Genomic DNA, 13,665 nt, shown 5'->3' with positions numbered 1-13,665 from the left:
GGTCTACCTCTTCCCTGGGATAGGAGCAGCCCATAGGGCACATGGGCTCCCATCTGAGAGTCTCTTAGGTGTTGAGAAAGTGCATTCCCACCTGTGTGCCACTGGGCCTTTGTTAAGACCCTGTGGCATGGGTATCGTCATCACTCCCATCCTATAGAGGAGAAAACTGAGTCAGAGGGAGCTGGGGTGGGGTGTGGCATAGCTCAGAGAGGAGTGAGAACTCAAGCTTGGGGGTCTGACTGTTCACTGTGCCCTACCAGGTCATCGCCCTGTCGGTGGGGAACAAGCCCAGCCTCACCAACCCCTTTCCTGCGGTGGAGCCTGCCGTGGTGAAGTTCGTCTGCGCCCCACCGTCCAGGCTCACCCTCGCGCCTGTCTACACCAGCCCCCAGCTGGACATGTCCTGTCCGCTGCTGCAGCAGAACAAGCAGGTGGTGAGTGTGGGCTATGCTCGGGAGGAGGTGAGGGTGCCACCCGCTTGGGCAGGAGGACATTGGTGGCCTCGCCCATGGTCCCGAGCATTGCAACGGACATAGCTCCACGCTGCACTTCCTTCGTCTCAACAACTGGCCCTGTGAGGACGCTGGTTTCATTTGTGTTTTATATGCAGGGGACACACAGCTTGGAGAGGTGAGAGACATACCAAAGTCACAGCTACTAGTGGCAGTGCCAGGTGAAGATAGAGTCCTCTTCCACATTTGCTGCCTGCCTTTGTTTGGCACTCGGTAGTTTAAAAACAACTTGTTGTCTTCTGTGCCTTGAGGGTGTTAAAATGGGGCTTGCTGTCTATGGACAGGGTATGTAGGGTCAGAGTAGGCGTGGGGGCTGCTGAGGAGAGGTGACCAGCTACAGCATCCCCATGATGTGGGTGACGTGGGGTTGTGTTTCAAAAGTAAGTGTTGGGAGAGGAAGAAAGTCCCTTGGGAGTCTTGTCTAACAGCAGGGATGGTAGGGGAAGCCACAGGTCTGCTCCCCTTGGACTTGAGACACATCCATGCCTTAGTCCCTAGGGCATTCAGAGCCCAAGGTGCTGAGTGTGTCCAGGGTAAGGGACATGGGACATCCTCTGGCCAGCATCAGCCCCCAGCCCCTTTTCAGAGGAGGTGGGTGAGCAGCTCCTCACTCCTTGAGCATGTACTTATGGAGCATGTCCTCTGTGTCAGATACAGGTCTGAGTTTTGGATTGCACACTAATCAGGACAGGCAAGGAACCTGCCTCCCAGAGATGACAGGGAGACCAGGAGATGCACAAATAAGATGGATCAGAGGTGGCAAGCGCTGCAAGGGAAGTGAAATAGGGCACGCAGCAGAGTGAGGAGGAGGCTGCTCAGGAGGAGCGGAGTGGGGCTCTGAGGAGGGCATGTGCGAGCTCACCGCTATCTAACGCTGTGGAACTCACTCCATTGATTCTTTGCGAGTCCTAGAGCAGACCCTGGCTCATAGGAGGAGCTCAGTAACTAGGAGCGAAGGATGAGTGAACCAGCGAATGCACTGTGCATGCGCCACTCCTGTCTTCACCCTTGACTCTTGCAGACTCGTGGGTGGAGAAGCCACACTGCTGGAGAACTGGCCAGGGAGTAGCTGAACTGGAGAGCAGGTCCTCTCTGGACAGGCAGCCTGCTCAGCTCAGGGACAGTCAATTCAACCCCAGGCTGGCCCAGCTTTCTCATTTTCAAAGAAAAACAAATCATACCTATGTGCATCTTCCCTGTCCTTAGCGTTGTCTGTGAGCTGAGCGGGCCACCTTGGGGCTGGATTGGTCCTGGTCTGTCTGTTGGCCAGGACCTCTGCTTTAGCCCAGTGTTGTCTCTCTGGACTTAAATATGATGGCTGCAGGGCTTGACTCTGATTTGGCTTTGCACATCATAGATGTCGCCAGAAAATAATGGACCTCAAACACGGAGTAGCTGTGTGATCCATCAGTGCTCAGGTTCCTGAGCCACCAGCCAGCCATTCAGGTGTGACTCTGGCAATTTACAGCCTCATTAGGGAACTTTTGTTTTTCTTTTTTTTGAGACACAGTCTCGCTCTGTTGCCCAGGCTGGAGTGCAGTGGCGCAATCTCGGCTCACTGCAACCTCCACCTCCCAGGTTCAAGTGATTCTCCTGCCTCAGCCTCCTGAGTAGCTGGGATTACAGGCATGCGCCACCACACCCAGCTAATTTTTGTATTTTTAGTAGAGACAGGGTTTCACCATATTGGTCAGGCTGGTCTCAAACTCCTGACCTCGTGATCCGCCCACCTCGGCCTCCCAAAGTGCTGGGATTACAGGCGTGAGCCACCATGCCTGGCCAGTCATTAGGGAACTTTGAGAAAGATATATTCCTGCAATGCAGCCTGGATGCAGGATCAAGGTAATTTTATACTCTCCAACTTCAGAGGCTACCCAAGATGTGTTTGCAGATTAAATTATTGGTGAGGAGAGACACCAGAATGGAATTGACTGATCAGAATGACAAGGTAGAGCCAGGCTCAGCCTGACCCTGGCCCTCTGAGCAGGTCCTCTAGCGTGTGGCTCACTCACTGTGGGTGGGCACCAGTTGCATGGGACTGATTAGGGGCTTGAATGGGGCTGTCCCCAGATTGAGACACCAGAGATTGGCCACACTGAGTCAGGGGAGGTCCTTGGGCTCTACAATCAGGCCAGCTGAGTTCCACCCCTAAACCTGTGTGACCTTGGACAAGTCATTCAACATTTAACGTCCCTGGACCTCAGCCTCCCTGTTTGTAATATGGGGCTTATGTTGTTGCCTCAAATGGGCCAGTTAGCTTGCACATGTGCTTGGCCAGTGTCAATTTCCTTCCCTGGAGGAGCATTGGTTTTCCAGCCAGGATTGCATCTGGGGGAGCCATGGAGCACCTAGGATAGGTCCCTACAGCCCCTGCCCAAACTCCCGGCTTCTATATTATGAATAATGATGAGACCTTTGCATGCCTGCTGATGGTGCTGGCCTACTCAGAGCAGGGTGTGGATTAAGAATTTGTAGCCTGCTTGAATCAAGTGTTCTCTTGGGGCAAGAGAGCTAGAAGGAGTTGGGAGGAGCCCTCATGGTGCAGGTGGGGTGTTTTGTGACTGTATCGGTCAGGCAGGCGGGGCCTGGCCAGGCTGCCATGGCAAACAAGCCCACATCCCGTAGCTTCACATGGCACAAGCTCACCTCTTGCCCATGCTGCATGAGCCTCTCTAGTTGGCTGGGAGACCTGCTTTGTGTCATTGTGATCTTCATTCCAAGACATGGGCTGTGGAGCAGCCACCATGTTGATCATGGCAGGTGCCACTGTGGAGAGAAAGGGAATGTGGCAGGTCGGGATCTGGCAGTGAAGCTTCCCCCTAGTCCCATTTCACTGGCCAGAACAAGTGCCTCAGTCACTTCTAACCAGAGGATGAGAGAAGGGTAGTTCTTCCTGCAGGATCCCCCTCTCCCCGAATGGAAAACTAGCCCTGTTTGTGAATGATGCTCATGGCTGCCCACTTTCCTACCCGAATGTAGGAAGGCTCTAAAATGACCTTGCAGTCCCCATATTTAAATCCCTCAGTTGTGCTTTGTGTGTCATAGCTGGAGAAACTGAGGCTCAGGGAGTTCATAACTTGCCTGGGCACTGAGAGGTGGAGCTGGGGCTGAGTCCAAGTTGTGGGGTCAGAGACACTTGGCCTCTGCTTTATGGCCCAGCCCACACTGCCCCCATGCTATGTGGCCAGAGAAGGGAGGGATAGCCCACAGGAAAGAGGCTTGATTCAGCTGGTTTCTAAGGGGAGAGTCCGCTCGGGGAGCGAGAGATCACCCCAGAGTGGTGGGAATCCAGGATTTGGACCTGCAGCCTGGCGCTCCCATTGCGAACCTCCTTGGATGAGCTCCTTTCCCTGACTGGGCTTGTGCTTCCTTCACGTGGGGATGACCCCTTCCACCTTCCTGGGACATTTAAGGATTAGGCGAGTATTCCACTTTCAAAGGAGCTGTACAAACCCAGTAGCTCTGGGACATCTTAGGCGTTGAAATCTGCATTCCTGTGAAACCACTAGTGGGGCCATCCTAGAGGCACCGACATGTGCCTGGGTGGGGGATGGCAATCATTTGGGAAGGTGAGGGCAGAGGGGAAGGAGAGCAGCCTGCCCACAGTAGTAGGTCAGGATGGTGGTTCCCAGCTTCAGCACTGTTGACGTTTGGGACCAGATAGTTCCTGTGGGGGGCTGTCCTGTGTATCGTAGGGTGTTTAGCAGCATCATGGACCTCTCCCGAGTAGATGCCAGTGGCAACCCCCTGACTCATGCGTAGGGACAGCCAGAAATGCCTCCAGTGTTGCTGAAGGCCCCCTAGTGGTTCTCATTCCACTGAGAGCTGTGGTCTGGAGCCAGAGGCCAGCTTGGACAGGGCCATGGGGGGACCTGGTGGGTGGCAATAGTGAGGATTGCTTTCTGGCATATCCCATTCCCTCACCAGCACCCCCAAGAGCCCACAGGGCAGCTGCTGGCCTCAGAGTGCACTGCGTGGTCAGTGTCCAGGTCCAGTCCTGGGGGTGACCACAACATCTGACCTGTGTTCCCTGCAGGTCCCAGTGTCCAGCCACCGCAACCCCCGGCTGGACCTGGCTGCTTACGACCAGGAGGGCCGCCGGTTCGACAACTTCAGCTCTCTGAGCATCCAGTGGGAGTCCACCAGGCCAGTGTTGGCCAGCATCGAGCCTGAGCTGCCCATGCAGCTGGTGTCCCAGGACGATGAGAGTGGCCAAAAGAAGCTGCACGGTGAGCTGGGCACAAGCCTGATGGCCCAGGCAGGAGAACAGAGACCAGACAGGAAGCCTGCCAAGGTGGGCCAGTGCCTGTGGGAGCTTAGTTATCTGTGCTTAGATCCTGTTAACTCTTACAATCCACATAGTTTCAACACACACAGTTGTCTGTTTTCAGATTCGAAACTGCAAATCAGAAGGAGGGAGGGGCTGCTTCAGGGGTGGTGATGGGCAGACATCCAACGGTGGCTTCCTTCTTCCTGGTCTCAGGTTTGCAGGCCATTTTGGTTCACGAGGCATCAGGAACCACAGCCATCACTGCCACTGCCACTGGCTACCAGGAGTCCCACCTCAGCTCTGCCAGAACAAAGCAGCCGGTATCTCCCAGGGCCCAGTGGTGGGTGGGCTATGGGTAGCGGGGCAAGCCTCCTACTTCTGCTTAAATTCCACCGGGTATCACAGTGTCCTGAGTCACTGTCTGCTTGACCACCACTCCCCCACCCCAGCCTCTTGGAGGCCCCAGGAGAGGCACTGCTATTAATAGTAGGGGACCAATAGGTACATTGGAGGTGGGAATGGGAAGGGCTTCTCAAGAATAGCCCTTCCTGGATGACAGCCACCTCATGGGGGGTACAGCCACAAGGAAACTTAGGTCTTGAATAAGGTGGAGGCAGCAGGTACAGGCTGGAAGGAGAAGGTGGGACTGTAACTGTATTCCCATGGTCCCTAAATGCCAGGATGAGGCACTTCTATTGTCCTCTTGGGAGCAAACTTTGAAAGAGGCTGGGGTCCCGTGGGGGCAGCACTGGGGAGGCTGGCCTGGAGGGAGGGGGTCACTGAAGGGGCACACCTGTGCCTATACCTGATGGCTCAGTCCTCACTGGCACCAGGATTCCCTTGATTGGGAGTGAGGGGGCGTCACGGCCTCCTGCCTGATGCCTGAGCACCCTGACATGTTATCCCCATGACTTTGCACTTCCTCCCTGCCCTGATGTCCCCCCACCCCCCATAGCTGAGTCACTCAGGCTTCCTCCCCTTGCAGTCTGTGTTCCCCTGAGAGCTGCTCTCCCTTGCAGACACCTTCCTTGTCCTTGTCACCCACAATGCACACCTTCCTGTCATTGACTCACTCTTGCTCTTCCATCCGTGCATTGGAGTCGCCTCTCCCTGCCGGCAGTTGCTGCACCCCGAGTGCCTGGCACACCTGTGGCCCTGAGGAGGTGCTCAAACACGTGATTCCTGGGGGCCTCAGATCTGGGTGGCTCCTTTGTGTGACACATGGTGGGAAGCAGAGCTCAGTGGGTCATGTGCCACCCTAGGGGATGAGGGCTGTCATTGTCCTCTCCTGAGCCAGCCTTGGCCACACTTCCAGGGGACCCTCCCCCGATGCCTGGCCTGGCCAGCGGCCACATGCTCTGAAGCTGACCCTTTGCTGTGAGGTCCTGCAAGGCAGGGCGTGTGTGTGAGTTGCCCACCACTGGGGCCTGGTGGGTTGGGGTGGCGTCTTCTAAGCTGGATTGCTCCCAACCCTCTCCTCAGTCTGGAGTGGAGGAGCCAGCAACTCATTCCACCTCAGGAGGCTGAAGGGAGACCTCAAAGGGTCTGTGGCCATTCTGCTGGGCTCAGGAGCACCAGGGGCTTGTGGCCAGGAGCAAGGCCAGGCCCTAGGGCTTTTGGGCCTGTTCTTCCCGAGGGGCAGCCTAATCATGTCCTCCTGGATCTAATGGCCTTGCCCTTGTCCTTCAGCATGACCCTCTGGTGCCTCTGTCGGCCTCCATAGAGCTCATCCTGGTGGAGGACGTGAGGGTGAGCCCAGAAGAGGTGACCATCTACAACCACCCTGGCATCCAGGTACAGTCCTTGCCCTGCCACCTTCCTGGGCAAGACCCACGGGGGGACTCCTCGCCCTCCCACATGCGGCCCAACCCTCCCTGCATCTGCCTCCTGCAGGCAGAGCTCCGCATCAGGGAAGGCTCAGGTTACTTCTTCCTCAACACCAGCACCGCAGATGTTGTCAAGGTGGCCTACCAGGAGGCCAGGGGTGTCGCCATGGTAAGCTTGGGCCATCGGTCCCCACTGTTGGTTTTCATTCCTTATCTGGGCTGTTGTGTGGTTAATTGATTGATCATTTTGAAAGCTAGCACTTGACTCACACTCGGAATCCCAGAACTTTGGGAGGTCAAGGCAGGAAGATCACTTGAGCCCAGGAGTTCAAGACCAGCCTGGACAATATAGTGAGACCCCCATCTCTACAAAAAAAAAAAGAAAAATCAAAAATTAGCTGGGCATGGTAGCACAGGCCTGTGGTCCCAGCTACACAGGAACCTGAGGCAGGAGGATTGCTTGAGCCCCGGAGGTTGAGGGGTGCATTGAGCAGTGGTCATGCTCCAGCCTGGGCAACAGACCTGGGTGAGAAACCCAGACCCTGTCTCCAAAAAAAAGCTGGCACTTAATCACATTAGCTATAATTAGCAAGGTCTTTAGATTCTCTGATTCATTCTACAACTTTAGTCATTCTCATGAAACCTTTGTGATTTGTATTCCCTGTCCACAAACTGTTAGTTACCTAATGGTTTCCTTTCAATCAATCCTTTAAGATTAAAATATTATTCCATAAGGAGCACTGTAACAGCCATAAAGAAAATTGCTTTTAAAAGATGTCTCACCTTTCTCTATTTTTCCTGTGTTTCTCTCTTGACCCTCTCCCTACTCTTGCAAGCATTGACTTTAGCTGTGCTCATGGCATGGAAGAATTTAATGTTCTGCTTTTATTATGTTATTTTAAGTTTTTATGTTTTTGCGTGTTGCTAATGTAAGCTGGCAGTCCATCTTCAAGTTTGCTAATGCTTTCTTTTGCCAGTTTAAATCTACTCTTGTGCGCTTCTAGTGAATTTTTCATTTCAGCTGTTATACTTTTCAATTTAAGAATTTCTGGCCGGGTGCGGTGGCTCATGCCTGTAATCCCAGCACTTTGGGAGGCCGAGGCAGGCTGATCACAAGGTCAGGAGATTGAGACCATCCTGGCTAACACGGTGAAACCCTGTCTCTACTAAATATACAAAAAAAAAAAATTAGCCAGGCGTAGTGGCGGGCGCCTGTATTCCCAGCTACTCGGGAGGCTGAGGCAGGAGATGGCGTGAACCCAGCGGGTGGAGCTTGCAGTGAGCCAAGATTGCGCCACTGCACTCCAGCCTGGGCGACGGGGCGAGACTCCATCTCAAAAAAAAAAAAAAAAAAAGAATTTCTATTTTTTTTCCTGTAACTTTTCCCCTTTATTGATATTCGCTGTTTGATATGAGATTGTTATCAAATCTTCCTTTACTCCCTTCATCGTTGTTTGGTTGGAAGGCTTTGCCTGGTGAATCTGATCTCTGGTGGCCCTCACAGACAGTTTCTGTCATCTGCCTTTTTTCTGGAGTACGGGTCATGTTTTCCTGTTTTGTTTTGTTTTTTGTTTTGTTTTGTTTTGTTTTGTTTTGTTTTGTTTTGTTTTTTCATGTCCTATAATTGTTGGAAACTGGACATTTTAGGTAATGTATTGTAGAAACTCTGGGTACTGATTCCCCATCCCCATGCTGGAGCTTGTTATTATTATTTGCTTGTTTACTTCTTTAGTGACTGGCCTTGTTATTTTGCTGAAGACACAAAAACACACGCGCACACACACACAAACACACAGGCTGTGTTATTTTGCTGAACACACACACACACAGGCTGTGTTATTTTGCTGAACACACACGCACCCACACACACACACTTTTCCCCAGTAAGAAGTCTCTGATACTGCTCTTAGGGGATAACACCTTGGTATGTCCTTTGTCACTCTGGGATGACTGTGGCCTTTGCAGGGCTTTTTTTGGCTGTCTTTCACTGACCACTCAACTGTTGAGCTGCACTAATTGAGGCTGATTGCTCCACTGTCTTCAGTAATTCCCTGGGGCACACATTCCTACACAACTCAGTCCAATCCTATTCAGGATCCTTTGAAGGGACCCTTTCCCTAGAAGATGTTTAAGGTTTGTTCTGACCCCAGGAGAGCTCTTCCTACCTCTCTCTTTTTCCGTTTGTCTCTGGCAAACTTGCCGGCCTCCAGTGTAGCCCACACCTCCCAGGCTCTCCGTCACCTCCCAGTTGCCTTTCAGCACAACTTGCAGTGTTTTGGAGAGTGTGCTTAGGCTTGGACTTCTCCGAGCTCTGTTGCGCATGAAGTCAGTTCCTTCAGGAGCAACTCACACCTGTTTTCTGGGTGCATTTAGTTGCTGTGCACCAGCTGCTTTCCCAGGCAAACTCTCTGAGCCAGAGCTATGGTGCTGGGCACAGTGGTGCATCTCTCTCTGGTGACACCTGCACGTTAGGAGCTGGGTCCTTGGTGAGTGGGGCAGCAGCTCCAGTGTTCCTTGGCTGGCCTCTCTTAGCAGGGAACCCCACCCCATGAGCCAGGGAAGGGCAGCCGGGCCCCAGTATTCTCACGGGTGCCGCACCCAAGGCAGAGCCTCCATCCCACGAATGGGTTCTGGGTGGAAGATGAGAGCCCCCACCTCTGAGCCCACTTTCCTGGGACTCAGTCTCAGCAAGCTGTAGCTGGGGGCATGGTAAGAAAAGAAAAGCTGACATCCTGCCCCTCCTAGGAAACGAATCACCTGACCGAGAGCTGGGGGTGAGGGAGTCCTGTGATCTTGGAGGAACCAGTATGGAGCGGAGCCCCGCTCACTGGGGTGGGAGGTCAGGGAGGATGGGCATCTTATTTCACGCACCACAGGCCCTTGTTCTTCCCAGATGTCAGCAGGCTTTCTCCAATAAATGCTTCTTCATTTGCTGTTGCCCTTGGAATCATCCCAGAGATTTTAAACGGCTGTGTGTATGTTTCATGGGGAAGTCTGTGGCCTCCTTACACTGTCCTGCAGAACTGGCACCTCCGGCTGTTTTTTGATGTGTGGGGGTGTGGGCCTGTGAGGCAAGAGCTTCTGATTTTCAAGAGAAAATAGAGATCTCTATTTTTGTGTGAAACACCCCCTGTTTAATAAGTTTTTTAATTCAGTTTTTTTGTTTGGTGTTTGGGGTGTTTTCGAAAACCTTCCTTCAGCGTTTGATGTTGGTCTCCAGCTGTCTTGCAAAGAGGATGTTTTCTCAGCGCCGTGCCTCAAGGAGGGGGAGGGAGTCCCACTGTTCCTGTTCTTCTCAGAGGCAGACCCTTGGATGGCAGGACGCCCTCAGCAGCTGGGGACATGCTTGTGGTTGGAGGACACTGGAGGAGGCGAGGAGCCTGAGACCACAAGCAGCGTCTCCTAAGCATTCTTATCCCCTCATAGAAGAAAGAACAATTCCCCAGCTCTTCCTCCAGCCATGCGAGTGAAGAGAATCTTACATCTTAATTCTGACTGCTTGACATATGCCTTGTTTTGTTTATTTTTGGAAATTAATAAAAACTTCCCCATTACCAAGAAGAGGGGAGTTCCAAGTTAGGGAAAAATGTGTACAGTGCCAGTGAAACCGAGGCACACTCTCATTCACATTTACCTTGCACCTGTCATTCTGTGCAAGCTCTGAGGGTGGACTTGTGACCAGAGGGAGACCTTTACTCCAAGAACAAGAGTTCCTAGAGGTCGGTGATGGACTAGGCTGCCGCTGTAGGTAGTGAGCTCCCTGTCTCTGGAGGCATTTGAGCAGAAGCTGGGACACTTGTCTGAAAGACTCAAGGTGGGATTCCAGCATGGGAGTCAAGTTTCCCCAGGAGACCTTTAAACCCCTCTTGAATCCTAAAATGCTGCAATTCTAGGAGTGCCTCTGCAGTTCTGTTTTACAGGTGGCCACAGGGGAGCTCTGGCACTCTCTTTCTGAATTGTGGAATGGCCGCTGGCCTGGTTGAGTGGCACAGAGTGCCCATTGCAGGCAGGACCCGGGACGAGTCTCCCCTATGGCAAGCAGCAGCCCGTGCCACAGGCCCTGCGAACTGCTCTGGTCCAGAAGTTTCCTTCCATGGAGGCGCCCTGCCCACTGGGGTCTTCACCTCCCTTCATTTCAGGCTTGTGCCAAAGACTCTCGCAACTCCAATCAGGCCCTGGTTCCTCTGGTCTCTTCTGAAGCCTGCAGGAGGAATTTTCCAGGGAGTATTGACGTCAGCAGCAAGTCCTGGTTGCTTCAGAAACAGTTGCAGGCGACTGTTTCCGAGGGATGTCTACTCGTGGCTGTGGCTTTTTCCAGCTGCAGAGCAGCAGCACAGAGATAGACAAGCCCCCAGCGCTCCCCAGTTAGCTCAGAGAAAGGGTTTCTTTCCTTCCTGTTGATACATATTCAGCACGGAAGGATGGCTTGCGGGAATGTGTGGCTTTGGAGTGTCTCTGGGGGGCTCTCTGGGGCTCACGCAGCAGGGGTCCTGTGGGGGTTTTTATCCCCACACAGTGGACATGGACTGTGCAGGGCCGTGATGAATTTTGCTCACACAGCCCCAGAACGCTCTGTAAGGGCCTTTATTTTGTTTTCGGCTGGTTTGCACATAGGAGTGTTTATCCGATTTAAGCCTAAGTTTTCCTTCTTTTCAACGATTCTTTACATTTCAATCAAGTCCTCTAGGCGGAACCCATGAGATGACCAGAGCAGGGGAAGGAGCCTGCTGGGCACTTTACATTTCCCATTAACTCGTGCACTCAGAGACGCTGGAGTGCTTATCGTGTGCCAGGTGCTGTGTTAAGCACTGCGGATTCAGGAGGGAATGAAGCCGGGGGGCCCAGCTCCTGTGAGCCGCAGCTGTGTCTCTCCATCTCCTGGGTCCTATGAGCTGCGGCTGCTTCTCTCCATCTCCTGGGTCCTGTGAGGCGCAGCCCGTCATGGGGCCATTGTTCAGGTGAGGACATGTGTCCAGGATGAGTGGGGAGTGGGTGGCAATTGCAGGGCCTGAAGTCAGGTGCATCCACCTTTTCCCTGAGACTGATCTGTGGACAGTGGTGCACGTCCCCAGTCCTCGCCCTTGGGAAGGTCACAGGGCTGGCCGGGTCCCTGTGTGAAGTTTCATCCAGCACCCAGGCCAGGGCCCCACTCAGTGCCTGTGATTTTCATGTGAGCTTAGGTCCTTCCCTGCTTGCCTTGAGGGCGGGTAATCAGGGGCACACTCGCTTGGCACTTCCTGGCCCATCACGTGACGTTGACAAGCAGCCTGCAGGAAATGGAAGCCGATGACTCCAGTGACATTCAAAAATAGCTGCAAGGTCCCTTATCCCCTGCAGTCGCCACCTGTCGGGACAAATCTGAAATGTGATCAGGGCTCCAGGAAGCGGGGACCGAGATGATGTGGGCAGAGCCTTGGGGCCTGGCAAGCTCCGAGGTATTTGACAGTTTCAGCCCCCACATGCACAGAGCTGCCTCTGGCTGCACTCAGCATCTTAATGAGCAATGACACATTTGTCATCTCTGACTTGACAGAACTTTCCTCTTGGCTCAGTGTTTCCCAATGTTCTCAGGTGGCACCTTCAACACTCAGAAATTAAAATTCATCCTGGGCATGGGTCACCACTACCTCTTTCCCCTCGCAAACATTCTCCCATGTGTCAATCAGGAAGCAGGTGTGTCCAGAATGCATGGAGAAGCTGTGTGGTGTGAGCTGCATGCACAGTGTAGTTAGGAGTGGGTGCAGGGTCTCACTCTGCCACCAGCTAGCGGCCAAGTGCCCTCCATTACCCAAGCCTCCAGAGTGGCCTGGTGGGCACGCCCTTACAGCATCGCTGTGGGGTGCATTTAGCTGCTGTGCACCAGCCTGAGGGGCAGGCCACGCTTCGAGGGCTCCAGAGATGGTAGCTGGATGCCCATCCCCTGGGAAATCGAGTGGAAGAGCAATTGATTTCCCCACTGCCATTTTATGTCTCTGTTTAAAATGTGCAAGATGGTTCTTTTAAAGGAGGAAAAAAGAGAAAAAGCCCTTCCCTGCATTGCCCTGTGTTGCCCTGCGTGGGGCTCCGCAGTCGGTGCACTATGGAATTTCTTCACATTGTGAAGGACCTGCCCACTCCTGACAGCAGTAACTACAGTAGGAGTTTCAGGTTGGAGCCTTAAATTGGGTTCTCAAAGAAAGCTGTCATTACTCTCTGTAATTTTTCAATGAGTTTTCTTTGAGAGAAATGTAATAACCTGGGGTCAATCAGCCCCAGCAAAACCAGAAACCTGGTGGCTCCTGGACCCTGCTCCTCAGCCCATACTTGACACCAGGCTCATGTGGCAATGGCTCCAGTCACAAAGCTATTGTTTTGTAGTGTAAGTGTGATGTCCACTCCGGGATCTTTATTCATCTACTGTAAGTCATTGTGTGGAATAACCCAGGCATGCTTTGTCTGTATTGATGTACCCATCATTACACGGGTGGTGTGTGCAGCTCGGGCCAGCTCGTTGATCCTCCGTGCCCCCAGCCAGCTGTGGGCTTGGGCTCTTCTCAGCTAGGCCTTTGCTTTTGTCCACTCTCCCTCCTCCCCAGCCCCGCAGTTCCGTTCTGGCTGCAGGAGGCCTCCAGCCCCATTCTCCTGGGAAGTGGAGAGTCGGAGGAGGAGCCTAAACTGGGAGTTAGGGTATTTGGTTCTATCCCCAGCTCTGCCTTTTCAAAGCCATATCCCTGTCCCATCATCTGGGCCTCAGTTAACTCATTTGCACATTGAAGTGGTTGGACCAGAATCAGCACTTTCCAAATAAGTGAAGGTCCATGAGGGTTGCAGGTGATTTTCAGAATTTCCAAGTCTTAACAAAGCTGGTTTTACTCTGTAAAGCTGAGCAGGCTGGAGCACCAGGTTCCATGACCTTATCCAGAATTACTCAGAGCAGCGGCCCTGGATCTTCATCCAATCAAGATGTGCTCGTAGGAGGCTAGGCTGTACCAGATGCTGGGCTGAGTCCCGAGGGCATGTGAGTGCTAGGGACAGCCTGGAGGGGAAGGCCAAGTGCACTGTGGGTCCCATCAACACT

The 13,665-nt window shown here is 53.2% G+C and overlaps 1 protein-coding gene across 8 annotated transcripts in view, besides 4 other annotated features; it reads left to right on the top strand.

The window, feature by feature from the left end:
• NUP210 (nucleoporin 210) overlaps positions 1-13,665 on the top strand; it is a 104,088-nt gene that overhangs the window by 61,667 nt on the left and 28,756 nt on the right. For 2 of the 8 annotated variants that reach the window (XM_047447797.1, XM_047447795.1), the window contains exon 1: positions 11,288-11,566. In XM_047447797.1, coding sequence (XP_047303753.1) covers positions 11,496-11,566 — 71 coding nt within the window. In that variant the 5' untranslated portion in view covers positions 11,288-11,495. The other 6 variants (XR_007095651.1, XM_011533538.3, XM_005264994.4 and 3 more) reach the window with 6 other exon arrangements.
• Positions 8,387-9,269: an enhancer, noted in NCBI's record as "NANOG-H3K27ac-H3K4me1 hESC enhancer chr3:13390887-13391769 (GRCh37/hg19 assembly coordinates)". NCBI's record gives its function as "activates a minimal SCP1, AML or CMV promoter by ChIP-STARR-seq in naive H9 embryonic stem cells {active_cell/tissue: H9 hESC(naive)}" and the evidence as "EXISTENCE:reporter gene assay evidence [ECO:0000049][PMID:30033119]".
• Positions 10,153-11,035: an enhancer, noted in NCBI's record as "H3K27ac-H3K4me1 hESC enhancer chr3:13389121-13390003 (GRCh37/hg19 assembly coordinates)". NCBI's record gives its function as "activates a minimal SCP1, AML or CMV promoter by ChIP-STARR-seq in primed H9 embryonic stem cells {active_cell/tissue: H9 hESC(primed)}" and the evidence as "EXISTENCE:reporter gene assay evidence [ECO:0000049][PMID:30033119]".
• Positions 11,036-11,919: an enhancer, noted in NCBI's record as "OCT4-NANOG-H3K27ac-H3K4me1 hESC enhancer chr3:13388237-13389120 (GRCh37/hg19 assembly coordinates)". NCBI's record gives its function as "activates a minimal SCP1, AML or CMV promoter by ChIP-STARR-seq in naive and primed H9 embryonic stem cells {active_cell/tissue: H9 hESC(naive and primed)}" and the evidence as "EXISTENCE:reporter gene assay evidence [ECO:0000049][PMID:30033119]".
• Positions 11,920-12,801: an enhancer, noted in NCBI's record as "H3K27ac-H3K4me1 hESC enhancer chr3:13387355-13388236 (GRCh37/hg19 assembly coordinates)". NCBI's record gives its function as "activates a minimal SCP1, AML or CMV promoter by ChIP-STARR-seq in naive H9 embryonic stem cells {active_cell/tissue: H9 hESC(naive)}" and the evidence as "EXISTENCE:reporter gene assay evidence [ECO:0000049][PMID:30033119]".

This window comes from Homo sapiens, chromosome 3 (genome assembly GCF_000001405.40).
Source record: "Homo sapiens chromosome 3, GRCh38.p14 Primary Assembly".
In the NCBI taxonomy this organism is placed as follows: Eukaryota; Metazoa; Chordata; class Mammalia; order Primates; family Hominidae; genus Homo; species Homo sapiens.
This window is presented reverse-complemented; position numbering and strand designations above follow the sequence as displayed.